Source organism: Homo sapiens, chromosome 9, assembly GCF_000001405.40.
Source record: "Homo sapiens chromosome 9, GRCh38.p14 Primary Assembly".
Taxonomy (NCBI): Eukaryota; Metazoa; Chordata; class Mammalia; order Primates; family Hominidae; genus Homo; species Homo sapiens.
In genome coordinates this window covers 99,355,174-99,380,067 of record NC_000009.12, presented here as the reverse complement: position 1 = coordinate 99,380,067, position 24,894 = coordinate 99,355,174, and the positions used below count along the sequence as shown (strand labels likewise).

At 47.4% G+C, this 24,894-nt stretch overlaps 2 long non-coding RNA genes across 3 annotated transcripts, besides 2 other annotated features; one reads left to right on the top strand and one right to left on the bottom strand.

Annotated features, from left to right (window-relative positions):
* Window positions 1-4,810: 4,810 nt before the first annotated feature.
* NAMA (non-protein coding RNA, associated with MAP kinase pathway and growth arrest) lies at window positions 4,811-24,728 on the top strand. Of its 2 annotated transcripts, NR_102270.1 has the most exons (10): window positions 4,811-4,930; window positions 5,661-6,062; window positions 8,612-9,214; window positions 10,200-10,336; window positions 12,260-12,407; window positions 13,525-13,669; window positions 19,569-19,680; window positions 20,191-20,368; window positions 20,559-20,683; window positions 24,466-24,728. It is a non-coding gene; the product is annotated as a non-protein coding RNA, associated with MAP kinase pathway and growth arrest (long non-coding RNA). The 2 variants fall into 2 exon arrangements; NR_102271.1 differs by lacking the exons at window positions 10,200-10,336; window positions 19,569-19,680; window positions 20,191-20,368; window positions 20,559-20,683.
* On the bottom strand, window positions 8,188-20,736 carry LOC124902232 (uncharacterized). Its single transcript, XR_007061692.1, has 3 exons — window positions 20,431-20,736; window positions 18,568-18,697; window positions 8,188-9,015 (listed from the first exon to the last, which is right to left on the bottom strand). It is a non-coding gene; the product is annotated as an uncharacterized LOC124902232 (long non-coding RNA).
* Window positions 10,398-10,979: an enhancer, noted in NCBI's record as "H3K4me1 hESC enhancer chr9:102131371-102131952 (GRCh37/hg19 assembly coordinates)". NCBI's record gives its function as "activates a minimal SCP1, AML or CMV promoter by ChIP-STARR-seq in primed H9 embryonic stem cells {active_cell/tissue: H9 hESC(primed)}" and the evidence as "EXISTENCE:reporter gene assay evidence [ECO:0000049][PMID:30033119]".
* Window positions 11,466-11,515: an enhancer, noted in NCBI's record as "active region_28709". NCBI's record gives its function as "activates an Ori minimal core promoter by ATAC-STARR-seq in GM12878 lymphoblastoid cells {active_cell/tissue: GM12878}" and the evidence as "EXISTENCE:reporter gene assay evidence [ECO:0000049][PMID:35858748]".
* Window positions 24,729-24,894: the final 166 nt, after the last annotated feature.

Here is a 24,894-nt window from a genome sequence, read left to right as displayed (position 1 = left end):
CAGCTACTCGGGAGGCTGAAGTGAGAGAATCACTTGAACCTGGGAGGCAGAGGTTGCAGTGAACCGAGATCACGCCATTGCACTCCAGCCTGGGCAACAAAGTGAGACTCCATCTCAAAAAGAAAAAAAAAAAAAGGAGCAGGAAAAGGAGTTTACGACTTTAGCAATCTTTAGAGGGACTCTAGTAAAGTGATGTTTCTCCAAGTAGATTGATGGGGGGAAGTGCATACATGTATTCTCAGGGGTTCATGAGTTCTCTCCAAGAATTTTTAAGTGATGTGTTTTTATTTCAATGATTATGTGATTAAATTAATAGTCATATATTCTAGGGATTAAGGCTGCTAACTCTTGCATCAAAGATCCTGGATGCAAATCCTGACGTTGCCAAGCAACAAATTGAATTGAGCCCTTGCAACTAGGCTCCTAAATGATCTGAGAAGTTGAATGCAGCAAACAAGTTTTCCTCTTGACCTTCTTCTCCTTCCTCCCCATCTAGGCAACTCAGAATCTGGTTATAGCTTGTATTTACAGTTAGGTCCTGGCCTTTGGTGCAAGACTTTCTGGTGGGGGTGACTCTTGAGCTGAGAAGGGATCCACCAGGCTGGTATGTTACATAACCATTACACTCACTTCTACAGTGCCTTCTGGTAGAAGATGTCTTCTCCCTATGCATTTGGTCCTGACAAAAACTATGTGAGGTAAGTAGCGATACAGTTGACCCTTGAACAATGTGGGGCTTGGTGGTGCTGACACCCCACGCAGCCGAAAATCCCCACTTTTGAACCCCAAAACTTAATTGCTAATAGCCCACTGTTGACTGGAAGCCTTACCCATAATATAAATGCTCAATTAACACATATTTTATGTGTTGTATGTATTATGTGCTGATTCTTACAATAAAGTAACATGGAGTAAAAAGACTTCACTAAGGAAATCATAAGGAAGAGAACAGCTATTTACTATTCAGTAAGTGGAAGTGGATCATTATGAAGGTCTTCGTCCTCATCATCTTTACATTGCATAGGCTGAGGAGGAGGAGGAAGAGAAAGGATTGATCTTGCTGTCTCAGAGGTAACAGAGGTGGAAGAAAATCTGTTTAAGTTTCCCGCACAGTTCAAATCTGTGTTGTTCAAAAGTCAACTGAATATATATTTATATTTATATACAGTTTACATTAATCATAATTTCTATATTTGCAAATCTGCCTACTCATTAAGATTAATTTTTAACCCCCAAATCAATACATGCAGCACTTTTGCTGTGAGCAGAATGGCAAAAAATTGCAGCCACCCAATGTGCACATTCCCAGCTGAGGTCAAACAAGGCGACACTCTGCCTCCTTGTTTCAGCTCTCACACTATAAACAAGTGTCCTTTTGTGGTCTACTCGGTACCACATTTTTCACATTTTTGTGCTTTTTTGTTTGGTATTTCACTGTTTCAAATGGTCCCCCAGCATAGCACTGAAGTAAGCCCAGGGAGGCTGTGATGCTCCTTACAGAGAAAACAGCTGTGGTAGAAACGCTTCGTTCAGGCGTCAGTTACAGTGCTGCTGGCCATGAGTTCAGTGTCGATGAATCAGCAGTAATATTAAATAAGCTATCTTTAAACAGGTGAGTTCAATGTCAATGAATCAGCAATAATATTAAATAAGATGTCTTTAAACAGAAACGCACACATTATTAGGTTTTATTATTGACAGAATTGTAACCAGAGGCTCACTGGAACCTAACCCTGTTATTTCCCCTTTGAGCAGTGGTTCAGTATCTGCCAGTGCAGTGTTCCCGGAGGCTTTTTAGAACACAATGACTGCAAATAATAACAATACAAGGCAGACTGGGTATACATAAAATATAAGAAATTTTAAAATCGAGGCTCAGAGAGGAAGGAGAATCTGCCTAAATGGCCTGGATTTCATATCTGATGCAGAAGCCAGAGTTGGTCCCTGAACTCAGGTCTGTCTGAGTCCCTGCTCCCTCTACCACCACCACTGCCACCCCCCCACACTACCCCCACTGGTCAGGGGTTCATGGCCAGATGACTTGTACAGACAATGGCCGTTTGTGGAGTTTGGGTAAGGAGGACTAACACCAGATGTCTTTCACCTCTCCTTTGCTAATGCTGCTCTTTGTTTCTCCTCCTACCCTTTTTGCTCATTTGTTTTTGGATTATCCATAACCACTTTGCCATTGCATTGAAGGTCCTTCAGAACAAGTGAGCTTGCTGCAAAGCACAAACCTTTCCAAAGAGGTGTCTAGGGAAACAACAGGGCAGTCAGCTTGGAAATAAATGCAATCTGTTTTTTTTTTTTTTCTTTTTTTTTTTTTGAGACGGAGTCTCTCTGTCGCCCAGGCTGGAGTACAGTGGCGCCATCTTGGCTCGGCTCACTGCAAACTCCGCCTTCCGGTTCAAGCAATTCTCCTGCCTCAGCCTCCCAAGTAGCTGGGACTACAGGCGCCTGCCACTATGCCTGGCTAATTTTTGCATTTTTAGTAGAGATGGGGTTTCACCATGTTGGCCAGGCTGGTCTCGAACTCCTGACTTCAAGTGATCCACCTGCCTCAGCCTCCCAAAGTGCTGGGATTACAGGCGTGAGCCTCCGTGCCCAGCCTGCAGTCGATTTTTACATTCAAGTTCACACATGAGCCAGTGAAAATTCCCCTACTTATTCTTACTGAAATTTAAACTCTAGAACAGGGCAGGTGAGAGGAGAGGAGCTGAAGGAATATCTGCACCTTCCCTGACTCTACCTTGGCAGCCTTCAGCAATCCTGGAGAGTCTCACCCCTTCCCACAGAGGAGCAGGGACTCTAAGCATCTTCAAACAATCAGTGCCATTTTGTGGGAACTTAGATCCAATATATCCCTGTTCACGGGTCCCACAATGCTTAGAATGATGCACTGCCCTGAGGAGTTTGACAGACGTGGCAGAGGAGAGAGGCAGGAGGGAGGAGGAGAAGAGACACTTAACAAGTGTCTGTGAGGTGGCGTTTACATTTAGAATTCCCTTTCCTTTCAAAGGAATCTCCAGGATAGCCAAAGAGTCCAGCTTAAAGGTAGCCAGCCAGAAAAAGTGCCCAAACCACGCAGTGAGATCACACCTTTGAAGACCCCACCTTGGCATAGACTCTACGGCTTTCACGAATGATGCTGAGCTCTCAGCAGCACCAGAACCTCAGGCTCTGACACCCACAAAGCTGCAGGTCTCCAGGGCTGCTTGGGCCAAAAGGTGGGTTCTGGGCAGCCCCCTTCCTCCTGGTCCACTTCTAAACTACACTCTTCCCTGGGCATATCTGATTCATAAAGCCCAGGGCACGTGACTGAGTGACTGAAAACAACAGAAATTTATTGTTTTACATTTCTGGAGACAAGAAGTCCAGAATCAAGGTGTTGGCAGTGCTGCCCTCCCTCTGGAGGCTGTAGGGGACAATCCATTTTTTGCCTCTTCCAGCTCCGGAGCTGTAGACATTCTTCGATTTGTGGCCAAATTGCTCCAATCTCTGCCTCTCTGATCACAGTGCCTCCTTCTCCTCCCTCTCTGTGCTAAATCTCATTCTGCCTTACATTTATAAGGACATTGGCACTGGATTTAGAGCCCACCAGATAATTTGGGATGATCTTCTTCATATCAAGATCCTTCACATCTGCAAAGATCCTTTTTCCATATAAGGTAATAGTCACAGGTTCTGGGGATTAGGACATGGTACTTTTTTTTTTTTTTCCGGAGGAGGGTAACCATTCAACTCACTGTACCTGGCTATAGATTCAAACCACCAATGAGGCTTTTTATACAAGTACAGATATGGAAGCCTACTTAGACCAATGGAATTGAAATCTTTAGGGCTGTGGCATCTAGACTGCATTTTGTTGTTGTTGTCGTCAGCTTTCCAAGTATTGTGCTGCTTAGCCTGGCTTGAGGACCAGTGATTGTACAATCCACCTCTTTATACAGCTGAGACCAGAGGCCCAGACAGGGGCCAAGACTTCCTCAAGTCACATTGTACAGGCTTGGACCCCCAGCAAGTGTTCCTCAGCCACTTCCAGCTGTGTGCAGCCCCCATCCCACCAGGACCCTTCAGGCTTTCAGAGCACCCAGGTGGCCAGCATCTTCTCTGGCTTGCTCTTAGCTAGGATCCTTATGAACTTTCTCAAGATTCAGGACAATGCCTGGCCTCAGATTGGATGGGTCCCCAAACAGGGGCCAAATCAACCTGCTGACTTGCTGTGTGACCTCAAGGAAGTCACTGAACTTCTCTTTTTCTAGTTTGCTCGTCTTTAACATGGAGGATTCAGCTCATTGTGCTCTAAGGCAACTTTCATAGCAGAAATGCTGTGATTTGGTAATTCTAAGCATCTGAAAATGTTTTCTTTGGCCCTTGGCCATCCCAGGATGTTTGATAAAATCTGATCATTTGGATAAGTCCCAGAAAAGGAACAGATCAGAGCCTGCGTTGGGTGCTGGGAGCCCACCTGATGGGAGAATGTGTGTACATGTGGCGGGGAATAGGGAGCATGGTAAAGTGTGGAGACTGAGAACTAGAAAGAATTAAAGATTATTCAACTTGTTCCAAATATAGAAACTGAGCCCCAGAGAAGGAAATGATTCGTTCAAGTTCATACAGCTAGTTAAAGGCAGAACTGGGATTAGAATTAATCCATTCCTGGGTTTTTTCCCCTACAATGAGGATGACAAATACATTTCCTTTTCTGCCCTCTGATCAATTAGCAGTGGCTACCTTGAGCACTGACTTCTGGAAGGTTCCCAGGTTCTTCAAAATTCAGCAAGAAGAATGCTGATTGATTAGCAATGTCTGATATGGCCACAGGAAAGGAGAGTACCCAGAATTTGTCAGCCAGGACTTACCAGGACTTGTGATAGAACAAAATTGCCAGTGGGGAACTTGAGGCTCATTCCTCATAGAGAACCAACAGGTGAAAGAAAAGCAGTAAACTACATAATTCCTTCTGCAGAAAACTCTTTTAAGTGCCTGGCCCAAAATTCAGAGGTGGTAGTCAATGCATGCTTAGGGAACCAGTTCAGTCAAAGTTTGCTAAGTAACACTGGGAACAAATAGTATTGCAAACTGTGAAAAGGGAAGCAGAACAAGATAACGAGTAAGGTAGAAACACATGGTACAATGTGCACCAGAAGTTTTTGTTGTATTTTTTAATGTTGCTCCAACTGTAATATCACTGCTTAGACTGAGACAGTGAAATTAATTGATTTACTTTCAGAAGCATAGTTGCAAAGTTGTATGTAAAACTATATGAGCATATGGACTTGCTAATTTCTCCATGCCTAGATTTAATTCTAGTCAATAACAATAACAACAATAGCTATGTCATTTAATCCTCTTGACAACTTTATGAGGTAAATGTTTTTATTATCACTGTTTAACAGATGAGGAAACTGAGGTATAGATGGGCTGAGGGACCTGTCCAAGTTCACACAATTAATAGGTGGCAGAACTGGGATTTGAATCTAACTTGTGATTTCAACACGTCCCTCTAATTAAAAGCTGGACCCAACCTGAGGCATATTTGAGAACTCATGGAAGTTACTAGAAGTGGGGTATAGGCCTCTTCAGAACTGGCCTTGAAATTTCAACTCTTCTTAATACAAAAGCAACATCATGGTCTTTCTCTTGTTTTCATTTACTAGGCTCCAAATCACCAAACTTCTTTGCCTCTCTGGGAAAACTAAATGACCCACCACTTCAGAAGAAGGTCATGGGGTCTGTGCACAGCTTTTCACATCCTCCCTGAAACACCAACACGCCCGGTCCAGGTTAAAGGATATCAGCACTGCCACACACTCTTCTTTTTCCCAAATTAATCAAGAAGTAGGAATTTCTGACAAATGCCATCTGCTGATTTTTCAGAGAGACAAGTTTTGGTGGTGTGACCAGCAGGTGCCTCGGCTTTTTCTAGCATGCAGTACCAAAATAGTCACCATGGCAACCCTGGGAGGGCAGACTTCCAAAGAGATGCATTGTGAGCTCAGAAACTCTAGAGCACTTTCAAGCTAAAAGGAAGGAGGCTCAGCAGTGGGTTTCCAACTGTGGCAAGTAGCGGCTTCTCCCCACATCCCTGGGCTGGACCCCAGGCCCCTGCATACTGGGCACAGCCAGGACCCCCCGACCCCAGGGCCTGTGCTTCTAGGAAGAGGGGGAAAATTGAATTTGTGGGGAGTGGCAGGCAGGTGGAGCAGGCAACTCCCAGATTTCTTGCAGGAGCTAAAGTAGCATGGAGGGTGATAAATGGTGCCCACCTGGGTTGGGAGGCAGGAGAATTGGGTTGAAATACCTGCCCTGTCACTTGCTAACCAATGACCTTGGGCAATTGACTTGGCCTTTCTGACTCTCAGCTTCTCATTTTCAAAATGGGAGTGGTGAGCTTGCACTGCCTCTTCACAGGGAAAATTGTGGATATGATAGGAAGCTTGTGAAGACTGTTGGGAAAGTGCTCAGTGGACAGTGCAAAGCAGAAGAGAACAGGGATTTGGGGATCAGAAAGCTTGGGTTCCAGACCAGGCTCTGCTGCTTTCTAATCTTATGAGCTTGGGAAAGTCATAGAGCTTGTCAAACCTACTCGCTCACCTTGGAAGAAGGCTCAGAAGCCCTGCCTCACAGAGTGGATGTGCAGGTTATCTGGGCTCTTTCTGTGACCTGGGATTTTACACTCCCCTTCAGTGCAGACACCAAGACAGGATGGACAATACAGAGGATTTTACTAGGGGAAACATCTGTGAGATAAAAATGGGGAGGGAGCTGGTAGAGGCTAGAAGAGAGGAAAGGCTGGGAGAGCCATCACACCTTGATGCAAGTCTGACCTAAGTGCAGGAGGGAGGGAAGCAAGTTTGGGTGGAAGCTCCTAGACTGCCTATAGCAAGGCCATCAGAGAGTCCTCAAGCCAAAGTCACCTATCAGAGAAGTTCCCTGTTTCTTGGAGACAGGTCTGCCTTAGTATCCCTGCCACACTCAGTTGCTGATTGTCTAGAAGCAGCCAACAGGAAGAGTGGCCTCTACATAAATATGGGTGCAAGCAGCTGGAGGCCATGATCAACTGAACTCTCTCTTCAGGAGACATATTCTTATGGCCACCACACCTACCCAATCCTGATGTCTTTTGCTTGAACATCCACATCAGGTACTTGGCCTCAGACCCACACCTCTACTTCAGAAGCCTTGTACCCCACATCCATGGTCCTCTTACCCAGAACATTATAGGAACTCAGGTTCAATGATGTCTTAGAATACCACCCCTAGGAAAAAAATATATTTTCTACATCTCAATTAGATTATGTAGCAAAGGTGCACAGGCATTGTTCCATTCTGCATTTGAATGTGCGTGTATGTAGGAATGCATGCTTCTTTGTCAGTGTGCACGCATATGAACAGTATATTTGTATATATAGATGAGCATTTATATCTACGTGTATGCATGTTGTGAATTTATGCAACAATACCATTAGCCCATTAGCACTACATAAGCATTTTGCACACAGTATCTTTGATCTTTACAACCATCTTTGAGGTAGATAAGCAGGTAGTTTTGTAGGCACAATCCTTGTTTCAGCTTAAATGTTTTCCCCAACATGCCACTCAGATAACACAAGGTAGAGCCATGGTTTGAACAGAAATGTCTTCCTTCAAAGTTTCAGCTCTTGTCCTTTCTTCCACCCACCCCCATCCCACCTACTCATATGACTATGTGTTGCATGAAAGCACATACGTGTGCATATAGAAAAAAGATTCAGATGGGGAGGGGAATATAGCTGGAGAAGTATAGATTGATTATGGATTGGTGACTGGTGAAAAGTATTTCTGCCAGAAGCCCCCACACTACAAAATGTAATCCTATTAATGTGTGTCATCTAAAAACATATATTGTATCCTAGCTGTAAGAATTTCTATTTAATGGGCTACAAAGACAAATTTTGGAGATCCTAAGCAATTTGAGTCTCTTATTCTTCTAGTATAATCAAACAGTGATCCACTTTCTTGGCCTTCCCCCAGAATCCTTGCTCCCATGGCAAGTTTTTCAGCCCAACTGGTGGAAATTGTTTTGTCCTGATTGAGAGGTATTAAAGAAAAAATATCTACCCCAGCACCTTAGTTTTCTAAATCACTTGTCTTTGCTTGTTTCCTAGCAGCATGAAATACTAGTCTGGAGAAATAGATTTAGAATTAGTTTCAATTGCCATTTATTGATCACAGGTACTATGCATACAATTTTCATAAATGGTCACATTTGATTTTGATTCTCATCAAAATGATTTCTATTTAGCAATGAAGAACTGAGGGTCTAATGGATTAGGAGACTTGCTCAATGTACCCTGTTAGTAAGGGGACAGAATAGGAACTGGAGCTGGGCTCTGCAGAATTCATGGCCTGGCTCTTTCCACAGTATTCACATTCTCTCCAGGCAGAAGATACGATCTGCCTAAATACTTGCTTTCCAGGCCATCCACTAGTTCTGCTGTATCCTGGGAACCTGCAGGACCAGCCAAGCCCAGGACAGGGCCGCCTGGGGCCAGGGCAGGTAGACTTACCTGGAAGAGCACCAGCCTGGCTATCAGCATATCCACTTTCTTCCCATTTCCTTTTGCAGCCTCCTTCCTTGGTTCACAATGACAGTCCAACTTCTGCCAGTCCTGACTGTCATTCAAGCCTTTTTGCTATTTAAGAATTTTGAGGAAGAAAACCGTCATGTACTCAAAATCCTGGTAATCAGAAGTGTCTGGAGATTTCGAGCTGTTAACATAGAGAGGTGGCAAAATTATTTTCTGGGATATCCTTATGGGCCTGAATGGCAGCGGGAGTCGACATAGCTGGTGCCTGGGCAGGTTTCCAAAGCACAGCCGAGGTGGAGAGTAGGTGAGGGCTGCAACAAAGGTCCCGACATCTGAAGAGCACTGCACAGTTTGTCAGAGGATTTCAGCTCCACACTCTCACTTAGTCCTCACAGCAACCCCATGCAGTGACTGCTGTCACTTCTTTTCATGGCTGAGAAGACTGTTGGGAGAGGAAAAATGAATTGCCCACTGGCAGGCAGGTAAGAGGCACAGCTGAAACTCTCACCTAGTTCTTCTGACTCCAAGCCCATCATCTCAGGATTGTACCCAAGTGGCTCTTGCACCAGTATCAGCGCCAATGGCAGGGTCAGCAGAAAATAGCAGAGGGGCCTGAAAACAGATGGGAACATCTGGAAAAGGTAAGGAAGTTGTCTTTGTCAGCTCCAGCCGCTATAACAAATACTCTAGGCTGGGTAGATGAAATCACAGAAATTTAGTTCTCATGGTTCTGGAGCTGGGAAGTGCATGTTGAGTGTGCCAGCATGGTTGGATTCTGGGGAGGGCCCTGGCTTGACATCTCCTTGCTGTGTCTTTACATGGCGGAGAGCAGAGAGAGGAAGCACACTCTCTCCTGTCGCTCTTTATACAGGCACTAATCCCACCACGAGGGTCCTGTCCTCATCACCTCATTACCTCCCAAAGGCCCCATCTCCAAAAACTATTACTCTGGGGATTAGGGTTTCAACATAAATTTGGGAGGAATGCAAACATTCACTACATAGCAGAAGTATACAGCCCTGGAGGCCCAGTTCATTTAGTGTAATAAGCCTGGTGCTGTGCTAGGCACTGGGGATATGGCCTGAACAAGGTCATCCAGACCCTTCCCTAAGAAGTTAGACTCCAGTGGGGAGACCGTTGGATAAACAGGCAACTCCAACACAGAGTAACAAGCATTCTGGTGGTGGAGGGACTTGCAGGCTCTGTTGGAAGGCAGGGGAGGGCACCACACCCAGATGCAGTAGTGGGCCTCTTGATTCATTTTCCAAATATACAAAAATGACTTGGGTTTGCAGAAGGAGTGAAAAAAAAAATAAAAGGTAGTTGCTGTGGGAGGGGAGATAGATCCAAGAAGGCTTCCTAGAAGAAGTGGGCAGCCTTCTGGAACTGGGGCCCTGAAGGATGGGTAGGATCCTGATGTGCAGAGACTTGGAGGAGAAGTATTGTAGCCTAAGGAAACAGCATGGTCCCTGCAAAGGCATGAAGGGGGAGATTCCCGAGTGTAATCACCCACCTTCAGACCCTGTGTAGGCACCGTATAGGATAGGGTAGGGTAGCAGGTGACACAGCTGGAAAAGCAGATGGGGGTCAAGTCGGGCCTTCCAAGGTTTGGACTTTATCTTACAGGCAGTGGGGAGCTGTTGAGAGCATTTTGAGTGGGGCAGTGACACTGCTGGCTCTGCATTTTGGAAAGGTGGTTTTCAGAGCAGTTTGGATGATGCTGGGGAGTAGCTGACAGGTTGAAGATCAGTCCTGAGGAGCAGGTCAGTGAAACATGATAAGGGCATTGGCATTCAGTCTGGGGCGTGAGCAGTGAGGCGGTCACCCAGGCTGGCTTGAGGGGCAGCACAAGCACACAAGCCCAAATCATATCCGAGGAGAAGTGCAGATCCACTTGGAGGAGCCAGGTTTGCCTTACATCCAAGAGGCAAGCTCAAGGCTAGTGATGAGCCAGAGGGCAGGGGCAGAGCAGATGAAGGGACTCCATGAGAGCGCAGGGCCAGGGTGGGACGCCAGGGCCGCTAGTGTGAGGGCTACTGCTGGAAAGGGCCGCAGGGCCCGAATTGAATGTGGGTGTGCATGAGTGCATGTATGTGTGTTGGGCGTATGTGTGGATAGTGATGCATGCATGCACATGTCCTGGGCTGGGAGGAGAGGGCACTGGGTTAAAGGGTGACAGACTAGGGGATAATGAGGGCCCCCAAAGGCTTGGAGGGGAGACACACAGGCAGGAGTAGGTCTTAACACCCACATGGGCACTCAACCCTTGGCCATCTCTGTAGCTGCAGAAAGCAGAGCAGTGAGCTTCCCAAAACAGTTTTGTTGCCTTGGTCATGCATCATACTGGAAGGCAGCGCCTGCAGCAACTCCCAGCTGTCCAGCTCAGGAGTCCCGCCACTGTGCCCCAGGCACCTACTTAGCACGTGATACCAGAGACACAGACATGAAAACCCGGTCTTAAAAACAAAAACAAAAACAAAAAACTTGAATCAAACTCCTTTCCGGCACTTTCCACTGATTTTCTAGACGTTTGTCCTCTGTGCTCAGGGCTGAGGAAACCGGCTTGCCTGCAGGCTGGTCGTTCCAGGGGGTTCCTTTGAAAACTTCCTGCGGTGTCCAGGAGCGAGCAGCCTGCTGCACACAGGACGCAATGCCTGCTGAAATCCCAGATGAAAGTGAGCGGCATCGCCGAGACAAGGCTAGATCCTTTTCAGCACAGCGATCCCTTCCTTCCTCCTTTCCTCCCACAGCTCGGCTAGAGTTTTCTGCCCAGAGGAACTCTGTGAGAGCGTTTCAGAGCCATCCGGGCCGCTTGCCCCCAATAGGGCTACGCTGGCTGGCTGACCCCCCTCCTGCTGGGGGGTACTGTACCCACGGCCCGGGGCTTCTCTATCCCTCTCCTCCCCTCCCGCTGCTGACGCACGCTTCCTATAATAAGCCTCTGTTACTTGGAGCAGGGGCGGCTCCGTAGTAAGCCGAAACCGCTACTATATTTACACCCTTTCCACATTTAGACAAAGGCTATTTTTAACAGAAGGTCTATTTGTGGGGGTTGCCCACGTCACACTGTTCACATGCATCTCACCATCCTCAGTCTGTTCTTCTGATTTCACACTTGTACCGGGCCTCTCTCCTTCTCTCTCTCCCCTTCTCTCCATCATTTTTCTTTCGTTTATTTCTTCCTTTCTCCAATGTCCTTCCTTTCTTTAATCAGATTGAGGTCTTTGGCAGGCTATTTTGCCAGAGTCCTTCAGGGGACAGCGAGGCCCTGTCCTCACGGAGCAGAGTGGGCAGTGCGGCCACGTGCTGGGCTGTGAACTGTTCTTGGCACCTACTGTGGGGACCAGCAGAGACCCCAGTCCCCAGAGGCTCCATATGGGCCTGTTCTGCCTCCAAGTTTATGTGGGCAGGATGCTGGGATCATGACAGCCTGGCCTTTTCTCCTCATGCCAGTCTAGTTTTATTGGTGGGAGAGGAGAGTGTGTGTGTGTGTGTGTGTGTGTGTGTGTGTGTGTGTGTGTGTGTGTGTGTGTTGGGGAAGGGGTGGTGAGCAAGGTCAGAGGAAAATAAGTCAATGGGGTCATCATTCATGCAGAACACTTTTTCAACTTAAATATTAATTTTATCAGATTTGTCTAAGATGACAGAGTTTTTGTTTGGGTGAAAGGAGGTTTCATATTTCCTAGATTCATAATCCACTTAGGAAAAAGGAGGGGGGATGCACGGAGTTAGCACATATTAAGTGCCTGCTGTAGTCAAGCCCTGTTGGACACCAGGGACATCTGGACCTTGACAACGGAGCGAAGGGGTGGTCCTGCCTGCACCAGGTTTCAGGTGAGGAGATTGAGGCCCACAGAGATCCGGGACTGGCCTCACTTAGCTGGTAAGTGGCTGTGCTGGGACTTAAATCTATGTGTCTGGCTACCAACTGCATGCTGGCCCCAAATCTCAGACCTCCCCCATTGTTACTTTTTCGGCTCTCTAAAAAATCAGCAATCTTCATTAACACTGTTTCTGTTATTTTCTTTCCCTCGTTCTGCTCCTCTCCTCACCCTCCCACCCCAATGAGAAGAGACCTTTCCCACCTCAGAACCCCATCTGCACTTCCTTGGTCTACTTCTTCAGTTGATGAGTCATCTGAAATACAGACATGTCAGAATCTAAAAAGGACACCAGAAAAGGCCTTGTGGGCACTAAAGGGTCCCAGAGAAACCCCATGTTGTCAAATCCCATGTTTTTCCTCCCAACAGTCAATTTGGATTATAGCTTACTGCATTTTTGAGAGAGGAGAGCTGAGATTTGAATCCACATCAGACTGTGCTGGAAACAGAATACAGAGCCCATCGTAGGATGTACTTCCCTCTGTAGCCTAGTTTCTGAAAGTGTCATTAAACATGTGGGAACCAAATGCCCCCTGAGTCCCCATATTCAAGCCTTTAAAATTGCAGATTCTGGTTCAGACATTTCCTGGAGACTCTGATAAGAGATTATTGTCTTCTTCGTGTCCTAGTGTCAGGGGTCCTGAGCCCAGGAGTCTAGCAGCTGTAACATGAGGCCAAGTCACATTCATCCCTAAAATAGAGATAATAATGTCCCTTGCCCACTCACCCACTTCACAATTTGCAGAGATGTTGCAATTAGAGAATGCATGTGAGTGTGCTGCTTTGAAAGCTGGCAAACGCGACAAGACTGCTAGTCACTAGTGCTGATGTTTTCATCCTTAGTGAGGATGTGAGAGAGGGCTCAGGAAGGCCAGGTGACATGTACAAGGTCACACAGCAAGTAAGTGGTTGAAATAAAGTCACAATAGCCCTGTGTCCCTCAGCAAGGGGCTGAAAAGAAATTACAGAGCCAGTGGGAAGGCTCGGGTGCTGAGCTTTAGCAGTGCTAGGCTGAGCTCAGCCCAGAAATGGGGACACTGATTTGGGACGAATCCCATCGCTCTCCCCAGCTGACCCTCCCTGCATCTTGGTCCCAGTGGCTTCTCAGGCTTCTCTGCAGCATGGGTGTTCCTGCCTTGGCCAGAGCCGAAATCCCAGAGCAGTGAAAGAGGAGCCAGTGTCATGGGGCTTCTGGTTTCAGGACACACTGGAAAGGTGAGAAGGAAGCTTGTCTTCCCATGGATCTGGGCCAGGCCTGGGTGGCGGGGCCTCCCCGCCAGGAGCTGGGACGTTCCCCAGGTGCCCGGGCATCCCCAGGTCAGGAGGGCCGCCAGCAGTTTTTCAAAGCATTAGCTTGGTCAAAAAATAAATCATTAGGCACTTTGCGGAGACCAGATGCTTTGTCAGTGCAGGCAAAACCTGACCCAGAATCTGCAGCCTGGGAAGGCCTTATGCTCACCTGGCTTAGGGGCCAGTTTGGGGAAAAGAGGCCCCTGCTCTTTGTACCTGCTTCTTGGAGGACTTGATGAGAAGACCTACACACCTTGACCTCCATGACTTTGACCTTCACACCTTGGCCACGCCCTTCTCACCACTACTACCCATCAGCCACCAGCCACCAGCCACCACTCCACCTCTCTACCCCCAACCCTCATCAGACTGTCACCTACTTTCAAGGTTCAGATATTGCTCCCTATGTGAAATCTTGTCTGGCCCTCTTTCTCCCAGTCAGGAATAATTCACCCCTCCTCTCTTCTCTGTGTCCTTAGTGTTCTCTGTGAACGTGGTAGCCGTCTCAGACCAGTCTGTGCTGGAGTTATCCTGGCACCCAGCCTACAATCAGAGGAAATATGCGGTTCATCCATGGAATTTGAGTCAGGCCTAGTTTTCACCTCTTCTGAGGGTGGAGCAGGGCCTCTGGGCTGGAGGGATACAGACAGTGTAGAAGATGCTACGGTGTCCCACCAGCTCCCCTTTTAAGGACCAATGCACACCCCCTGCCCCCAGCTGCTAAATGTCACCTGTTTGCCTGCTAATGACTCAATGATGCCCCCCTTCTCCAGAGAATGGCTCTCAGAAGACAGAAGCTGCATCTCCACGAGATTACAACTTTCTCCCCATACCTGCTCCCCAATCACTGCCACCACAGGCAATGACTAAGTGACACAGAAATGCAAAAGGGCAGTTCCCTCCCCTCAGGAAGGGACACCTCTGCGGTATGCTTTAGGCTCCAGAGAGTCAGTCCACTTCTACCCCCTCTCCAAGGATCAGGCCAAGGCTGGCTTTCCCTGAGATCACAGTTTATGATGACCAGCCTGAATTTCAGTTTTACACTGAAATTCCCGTATCCCATCAGTTTTGGGCAAATGGGGCTGATTGACTAGCTTAGACTGGGTTACCAGATTTAGCAAATAAAAATACAAGATACCCGGCTGTATTTGCATTTCAAATAAACTAAGGATACGTTTTGAGTATAAGTAGGCCTCATGCAAGACTTGCAACATACTTATAGTAAGAAATTACTCATTGTTCATCTGAAATGCAAATTGACCTGGGCATCCTGTATTTTATCTGGTAGCCTGGCCCTTGACCACGCCTGTGTTTGTCTCTCTCCCTGCTCCTATCCTGCTTCCTTTCCTCTCTCCCTTGCAGGTTTTTCCTGAAGAACACTCCCCCAGTAAATCACGTGTACCTAAATCCTTGCCTCAGGCTCTGCTTCTAGGGAATCTGATCTAAGACTGTCATTTGTCCCTCTCTGCTGTCTAAGGTGGCCAGAGAAGTCCTTTCATTTCCCCTGAACCTTGCAGAAACTCTTTTTGTTCAGACTTCGCCTGGTCCACCTTGGCTAGAGTGAAGGAAATCATGACACCAATTGTCACCAGCTGAGTCCCCCACGTCCTCACAACAGCCCTGAGTGGTGGCTACAATTCTTAGATCCATTTTTAGATGAGGAAACTGAGGCAAGAGAGATGCAATAGCTTACCTGGCTGCACAGAAAGTGGCAGAGCCTCAATACAGAACCATATTTCCTGCCTCTTAGACTCCTGCTTCATAGGTGCCTCCCAGGGAATTCAGGAGAGACACAAAAGCAAGGCTTTAGCTTTGCTTATCTACCCCCTCCTGGCCCCTGCAGCATTTGGACTTCAAGTTTTGACCTTGTCTCTTGGATGGGGGCCCTAGGATGGGGCCATTCTAGGTAAGCTCTCTGGGTGACCCAGGGGGCTAGCCACTAACTTCACATTTGTGAAGAACTGGCTTCCCAGAAACCACAGGAAAATGGGGGTATCCAGAAATCCATGTGGCCACAGCCCCCTTTAGGAAAACTCTATTTTCATTGATCCATGACAGATCTAGGTTCGTGGCTTAGGGTCTGAGCTTTGATTTAACCAGGAACATGAGAACTAGATTGACTTCTGGGGACCATCCAGCTATGGCCCAGTGGGATTTGAAGTTTCCATAGACCTGACATTCATGTTTAGTTAAGTACTTAACCTGGTACCTGGCACAAGGTAGAGCTCACCTAACAGTGGCTGTAAGTAGTAGTATTTCTTATAAGCAATAGTAATAAGAACATCTGATTCCCCAGATAACATGAGAGTGATAAGAATATGTCCTGCAGTGCACTCAACTAAACAGACTTCAGCTCAAAGCCATCCAAAGATGGAATGAGTTGCCTCAGAAGGCAGTGAGCTTTCTGTCACTCACAGGAAAGAAAAGGGAAGGAATTTGTTTATCTACCTGCCAGTGGGAGATAATTTCCATCCGTTACTTCTTTTAATCAAATGCTGAGATGTTCCAGAAAAGGCTGGATGATAGCTTGTGATGGTGTGCCAGCTTCTGAGGGGCTGAACAAGAAACATGGAGAAGTCCTCCCAGACCTGAGACTCCAGGAGTCTTAGAAAATGCTGACATCCCACATTTATGATAAGACCAGTGGCCACTCTCGTGTCCAGAAATCTGGCAAATTGTTCCAGAATAATGTCACAGGCTCCAGCCCTACACTTTTCAGAACTGTCCACACACTCAGACCAATTAGAGACCTGGCTTGTGCCCCTGAGTTGGGGGGCGGGGATAGACACTTACCTATGGGCCCTCAAAATCCTCCTGACCCGCAAGTTCCCCAGCATGGGAGACTGCACCAGGCCCTCTTTCTTCCTGTCTGTCACCACACTGTGCCTCCCCTCTTCTTGAGCAGCTCAGCTCAGCCACGGACTGAGTCAGGCATGCTCAGTTGCCAGCCCTACGGCAGCCCGGCTGAAGGAAATGGCTTTCTGCTCCCCCTCCCACAGCTGTCAAAAGGATACCCCAGAGTCCTCATTACACACACACACACACACACACACACACACACACACACACACGCCCTTACGGAATCTTTGCCCACAATCACAAAATCACAGGGCTGAAAGAGACGGCAAGTACCTAGCAGATTTGTTAAGTCCAGGCCTGTCAAGAACTTCCCTACCAGAAGCCTCCATCCACACACCTTCACAGTGGAGAGCTCACCCCCAGCTGGTGTCACCCTTCCCAGCGGTGAACTCTTTGGCCATTAGAAGGTGCTTCTCGTATCCAGGTGCCAGGCATCCAGGTATCAGGTGACTTCTTCTGGCTTCCTCTCATTGGTCCTAGTGTTTTCAGGAATAGCACAAGAGTCCAATCTTGTTGGAAGGTGTTGTACAAAGAGGTGCAAGAAGATACATGGGAGGAAGTAGTGAGAGATGAAGTCAGAGATAGTGAGAAACGTCAGAGAGAGAACTGGCAGGGATGTACACAGTCTAAAAGGGACTTGTATCCTGCATGCTGACAATTTTTCCATTGTGCTTTTTTTTAAAATTCTGTTGCTCTTCAGCTGTGTGGAAAACATGTCCACCCCAAATAACTTACTCTCTGAGAACTGCAGAAAAAACAAAAGTATTGTATTACCTATTGCACTGATGAGAAAAGGGTGATCAGGAAGGGAGAAGACTCAAAACTGTGTCACATGGAAAAGAGTTGAAAGAACTGGGTCTCTAGCCAGAAGAAGGGATTTGGCTGGTAAAGTGGTTGCCTCTGACAATCCTTCCTGGGGAAAAAGGATTGCACCAATTCTAAACAGAACAAAGAATTGGACTTAGGACCAAAGGGTAAACCACCAGAGTGACCAAAAGCTTTCTACTAGACAGAGCTGTCTAACAGTTGTTAAGATGGTGAGAAGTCCCTGTCACTGAAGGTGTCCAAGCAGTGGGGGCACTTGATATTTTGTGTCTGACAGTTCATGAGTTTTCTTTTAATGCATGCACATCACCACCACCACCCCTAACACACACACACACACACACACACACACACACACTGAAGCCTGGCTGTATAAAGGCAGGTGAGGCACACCAGTGTGGGGCGTGCATCTCTCACTTGGCTTAGCTTTGGTCCCCCAGAGATTTTCCCATTGCAGACTTGCTTGTCAGCAAGAAATAAAAGCCTTTCCTCTCTCCTTGGGAGGAGCAGAGCAGATTGTCTGGATCTGCTGCGTACTGCCCTGGCTCTGGTCTCAGCACAAACGCGTTCCTTCTGCTCAGTCTGTTCCCGTTTTGACAATGCAGAGGGGAGAGCTGGAGAAAGTCCCGCAGCCCAGAGTCCTGGCAGTGGAGGGCGGGGCTTTGCTGTTGGACCCGACGGATCACATTTGTATTCAAGAAAGACTAGGTGGAGCCCCTTGCTCCCAACACAGGCAGAAAGGTTGGCTGGGATTGGTGCCCATCCTCAGGCATCTTTTGAAGAGAAAGTGCTACCTGCTGCTATCCTTTCAGTGTTTTCTCAAAGGCAGAGCCTGAAAAAGGTTTTCGCAGGAGGAAACTTCTCTAAACCTCTCTAGCATCCTGGAGATTAAAATAAGTTATTTTTTTCTCTGCAAAAGAGATGAGGTGCTCTGATACCTGAGGGTGGAGTACTGGACCCTTTACATGATTAAGATCCAGAAAATATGCTTTTTGCCTACAGCATTGTATGTCCCGTGACCAGCCAGTAGTGATCCATTAAACAATGTTACTCAAGGTGGATTCACTAAGCACCCACTCTGTGCTAGGCCATACTTCCCAGGCACTGGGGAGCAAAGGTGAGAAAGATCCAGGACTTACCCTCAAGAAGCTTATAGTCCAGTGGGAGAGACCATCACAAGCAAAAAGAAAAATTAAATCCATGCACTCAGGGCTCCAGGAGAACTTTGCTGTGAGTGCACTAGCTGTCCGGGAGCATCTGGGGTGGCGTCTGCAAGGAAGGGATGCTTCGGATGAGTTTTCAAGGATACACAGGATTTTATGAAGTGGCAAAGGCAGGAGTGGGAAGGGATCTGTGCATGCAAAGTTCTGGGAAAGATGTGGAAAAGTTTTGTTTATTTAAGGAACTATGAGAACTTTGACGTGACCAGAGGAGCTACCATGCAGGCAGGGAAGTGCAAAGGATGAATCTAGAGCAGAGGTTTTAACCAGGGACAGTTTTGTACCCCAGGGACACTTGTTTGTCACAAAGAGAGGAGCAGCAGTGCTACTAACATCTATAGCGCAGAGGCCAGGAATGCTGCTAAACATCCTACCATACTACCGTGTGGACAGCTCCCACAACACCATGATCTGGTCCACAACGTCAATACTGCTGAGACAGAGAAACCCTGAGCATGGTAGGGTGTTTAGGAGTATCCCTGGCCTCTCTGCCCACTACAGAGAAGCAGCAGCCACACCACGAAAAAATGGAGTTCTGTTAGGGGCACTGTGCTTTCTGAGGGTCACACAGAGAAGGCATCCAGGGGAAGGAAGCCAGGGGAGAGTTGAGCTTTCAGATTCTGCAATCTGGAGTCCTCTATAGCTGTGTTTCAGCTAGCCCTCCCAGCTTTATTTTCTGTACATGTTTGATAAGCCTGCATCCAGTATCTGCCTCCAAATTGTTGACAAAAATGTTAAATGCAAAAATTTCAGGGCAAATAATGACTTAGACTCAAATAATGCCATTCAGTTTATGGGCATTTTGCATCCTTCATCTCATTTATATTCATTTTACAAAACAGAAAAATGAAGCTGGGAGATGTTCTGCAATCTAGGAATTATTTAACTATAACACGTTCAGCTCCCATCTCTTCTCCTAGGCTGGTCCCTGAGTGCTCCAAGGACCCATGCATCTGACCATAGGGGATGCTGGGAGTATCCTCCATCCTGGCCTGAAAGAGCTCCCTTTCAGCTTCCTGGATTCATATCTGTGTGAGTGGCTAAGGGCAGGTTCCCTGGTCTCCCTCTGCCCCTAGCTGTGACACTCACATACCCGTCTGACTACAGGGGACTCTCTCCCTCCCTGAGGCTGAATTGGTAAGAGGACCTCTCATGGATAGCAGGCAGGGACAGCTGCTCAGCTCATGTTTTCTGGCCAAGAAGCATTACTGACCCTGTGATTTGGCACTTCATCCAAACTGGCAGATGGGTACAGGTGCCTTGCCGTGATGCTGCTTCCTCTCCACCAAGCATGCCTGACCATTAAATCACCCAGCAGAGGACAGCACCAGTCAGCTGAGGGGTGGGCTCTTTTCAAGTGGAACCCCAAAATACTGCTAATCTGAAATGTCACTGTTCTCAGGGACAGCACGAATGAACCATGCCAAGTCACACACTGCAGAAACACTCTCAATAATCAACACTAGGTGTTCTAACAGTTTGTTCAAGCCTGTTCATCTGTGGTTTAGAAGTTTATAACATGACAATCTTTTACTCCAATAGCTTTCTGAAAACTGACTTCCCATATTCCCAAAGCCATCGCCAGCTCCCAGCTTTGTCATTCAGGAAAAAGAGTATGCACCTCCCCTTCATCCTCCTCATCTCTCACCATCATTAAGTACAAGCCCAAGGAGAAGAATCAAGGGCAATGAATCTTCATCAAACAATAAAATCCTGCCTGGTACCAGACCTACCTGTGCCATCCAAGCACTGCCTGCCCTGTCCCTCCATTAAACATCTTACCCTTGCTGCTGGTGGCTCCCGGGGCACTGTCCTTTCCGTGGCTCCTCCTCCCACCGGCATGGCCCAGCGGCTCTCTCCTGCTGCTCTGGCTCCGTCCCTCTCCAATAACATTGCTCCTTCTCTGGCAGGGTCCAGCCACTTTGTCACAAGCTACATCTATGGCGAGCAACGACTCCCGGCTGCAGGGTGAGACAGATAAGAGGATAAGAGGGAGCAGGAGCAGACGGAGAAAGAAGGTGGCAAGACAGAGCAGGCGAGAGATAGTGGTGGCTAAGTCTAGGGTGCTGATTATGGAGTAAAGGGAAAAGGAGGCATGAAAGCTGAGCCCGTGTTGAAAAGAATGTCAAAGGGAGCTCAAGCACTGGGCGGGGTGAGGGCAGAAGAGGGGTCCTTTCCAACCCTGGCACCTTTAAACTGTACAGGGGCTACCCTGGCTTGGAGCCATGCCATGCCTCTGATCCTAGGGAGTAAGAATCTCTTTTTGGGGGTGCAGGGCAACAGCACCCATTTCTCCATGAGCCACGTGCTTGCGTTTTCCAGTGGGATGCTCTCCAGGGTCATCTGGGTCCTCTTGCCTTGTGCTTGTTCATCACCTGAGCATGATTCTTGCCTGCTCAGCAGGGCGGTAGGGGGTTGTGAGCTCACAGCCCAGAAGCTTGACCCCTGTGGGGGCTCGGCATTGGTCCCTGGGACTCTGTGGCAGTGAGGCAGCCACACAGTGTCGAGTGGCTACTCTGTATGAGGGGATTTCTAAAAATACATCTGTCCTGCTTCTCATGGGGCTCATGAGTGCCAGGCAGATGGGACAGGCATGTACAACCTGCTCCCTCCTCACTGTCCCCACCACCGTCCTTCTAGTTCGGGTTGCCGCCTCTTCTCACCCAGACTATTCCACCAGCCACCTGCCTGCTCTCCCTTTCCCCGTGGCCTACCAGGTATTATAGTTACTAAAAACACAGGATCCTGTTGGGAGACCACACCTCAGCTAAAGCCTATTCTCTCATTCATTCATTCACTCACTCATTCATTCAATCCTCAGCATGCACCTCATATACATTTAACGTGCCAATGTGGCATGCTTTTTCGAGGCCAGGCTTGTGGCAGATGCTACAGATTGGGTGAGTGAAGCCAGACACAAAAGGACATAGTGTATGAATCCATGTGTGCAATGCTCGGGAATAGGCAGATGTAATCTACAACAATGGAAGTCACAAGACTGATGACTTCTTGGAGGTGGCGTGTAGCTATTGACTGAGGAAGGGCAGGGTGGGCTCTCTGGGGTCTGGCAATGCTCTATATTGTGATCTGAGTGACGTTCTCAAGGGTGTAACAAATTGAAAATGTACTGAGCTGCACACTTGAGAACTGTGCCTTTTACTATAGTATGTTAGAACTCATTATCTTTTTAAATGTATATAAAACATAATTCTGGTTTTGCTTTTTGGAACTATACACATATCCATGACTCAAGAATCAAGGAGAAAACTATTAATACTCTAACAGTGCTTGTCTCTAATTGGTAAGATTATGGTAAACTTAATTTCCTTGTTGATACTTTTCTGGATTTCCCAAATATTCTACACTGAATAGATCTTGCTTAAGTAATGAGATTAAATATATTAAATGTTATTTTAAAAGTAAGAGCCCTCGAGGTGAGACAATCAGCAAGCACGAGGCAGGTGGCTGTCTTCCCAGAGGGGCCAAGCCCACTCACGAGCTTTTGTCCTCTTAGGCAGCAAGGACACCAGCTTAGGAGTCATGTTCCAGGTCTGTGAGATTTCAGTTCAGCTAAATAAAGCTCTTGGCCCGCTGTGGGTGGTGAGGTGGGGCTGCTGGTGGAACCCTCGGGGTTTTCCTCTCATTGCTGAGGGGAAGGAGGCTCCAGGGCTTTCAGAGGCTTGCCAGGCCCATTCTTACCCTGGCAGCCGTTTAGACTAGCCTGACTCAGAGTCCCATGCACTTCTAACCTCTTAGACTTGGGACTTTGAGCCCCAGCCTGCCTGGAGTTCTCTCTTATGGAGTGGGGATAATTTCAGGATCCTCGCCACATCCCTTCAGCAGGAAGGACCTGCCCTATGCAGTTTGGGGACACAGAGAGATAGAGTGAGCTGATGGCACAAGTAAAAAAAAAATTTATATATATATAAATTTTATATTATATATATATCAATTGTTATTATATTTTATATATTATATTATATATTAATTTTATTAATAAATTTTATTATATATATTATATATTAATTTTATTAATATTTATTAATAAAATAAAATATTATATATATAGATTGAACCCTGGAAACTCTAAGGAAGGAAGAAAATGGAACATGGAGGAATCACTCTGGGCCTCGGTTTTCCACTGGGAAATGTGGCTGTTATGAGATTACCATATGAATAAGCATGTAGAAAATGCTGGAATGGGGGCTGGTTTTGTGTTCTGGTTTTGGTGACGCTTTGGGACATGGAGACCGGCTGCATAGCTGGCTCCCTGGCCTCCTGCTCCAATTCCAGTGCCCCACTTTCTTACTCTCTTACTCTCTTGGCCACCACAGCCCAGACATAGCAGGGGCAGGATAGATTTTTTCGTATGTGTGTCCGAAGCCTGATTTCTGCATTGGCAAAGCTATTGTGGTCATGTGATGAGGATCAGCTTGTGATTCACAAATGTATTTTGTATTTCTAGCTTGGATCCTAAAAACACTTCCCTCTTCCCTCCCACCTCCCTCTCCTCTGCCCACAACATGAAGGCTCCCACAGAGATGTCATGTGAAGGCTTCTCAGGCTGAGCCAAGGGAAGAGCCAGTGGCCAGCTCTGCCCTGTGACACACACAGCCTCCAGGAGTCACATGGTCTCCAGCTACCACCACCTGCCCTCTGTCCCCGGCCTGCTGCCCTCTCCCTGGCAGGCTTCCTGAGCTGATGCTTCCCTCCAGACTGCAGCGTAGCAGACAGTGAGACTGACGGACAGAGGGTACAGGGCCAACAGGCTTGGACAGTTCTGTTCCCAGCTGACCTTGGGGTGGGAATCCAACCGGGAAGCTCCTGGACACTACATGGTGTGCCCTGCAGGAGATGAGGTGCCTTACTGACCCGATCCAGAGGTAGACAGAGCTATTGGCAGCTGCTTCCCCACAACCAGCCCCAGCTCCACGAGCATGAGCCACAGGTGCTGAAATAAGGCAATGCAGGGAGCCAATGGCAGCATCCAGTGTCCCTCATGGAAAGGCTGGAAGCAGGACATTGCCAGGCCTTGGGGAGAGGGAAGAGGACAAATACAGGAGGAGTCATCTGTGTACATATTCACAAAAAAGAAAAACAAATCAGGGATTCTCAATCAGGAGCTATTTTGCCACCCAGGGGACTTCTGGTAATGTTTGAAGACGTTGTTGGTTGTGGAAACTGGGGAAGTGCTACCAGAATCTAGTGAATAGAGGCTAAGGATGCTGTTGCTGAACAGCCTCTGATGCACAGAACAGCCCCCACCCCCAACAAAGAATAATCCAGCCTCAAATGATAGTGTTGCTGTTGAGAAACCCCGATCTAGAGAGAAAGCAGCTTTGCTAGGGAAGATTTGAGCAGGGCCCCATGAATAAACCCACCAGAGTGAGCTGCAGCTGTGAGTTCCAGGCTTGGAACCTTCCGTGCCTGTTTAGTGCCCTCAAATTTGAGCCCATACCCTTCGGCACACACACTAAGACTTCCTTCCATGATCAAGCCCTGGCTTACCCTTCAGCCTCATCTCCCACTGAGTTTTGGTCACACCAGACCATCAACATCCCAGATACTCCAAAGTCCTTGCCCTTGAGGAAGGAGATTCCATACCCTGTCTGGAATGCTCTCCTTCCACTTCTGTCTGACAGATACTCACTCCCCATTCCCTGTTCTGCATCCAGCTGTGGCATATTTGAGAAGCCTTCTTTCATTGCTATCCTGCATCTTCCTTGTTCCTGGGGTAGCACACAGCCTCTCTTTCATAGAACATCACACAAGACAGCTGCTGGGATGGCTGACTTGTGTATCTGTCTCTCCCACCAGACTGTGGGTTCTCTCAACAGGGTGAACATGAAAAATAGAAGCCTCCAGTTTCTCCTGATAGTGTATAGATGGGCAGATCTGGCCTCAATGGCAGAAGATACTTGGGGAACTGGAGAAAGTACAGAAGGTGATGTGAAATCAATTGGGTCATCAAAAGAAGACGGGTGTACCACAATTTGTTCCTCCACCTGCTGCCCATGAACATTTGGAGGGTTTCTAGTTTTTGGCTATTACAAATAAAGTTGTCATGAACATTTGCATACAAATCTTTGTGTAGACATATGTTTTTATTTTTCTTTGGTTAAATACCTGGTAGTTGAATGGCTGGGTCATATGATCAATTTATGTTTAACTTTTTAAGAAACTACCACTGTTTTCCAAAATCATTGTACCATTTTACACTCCCATCAGCAGTGTACAAGAGTTCCG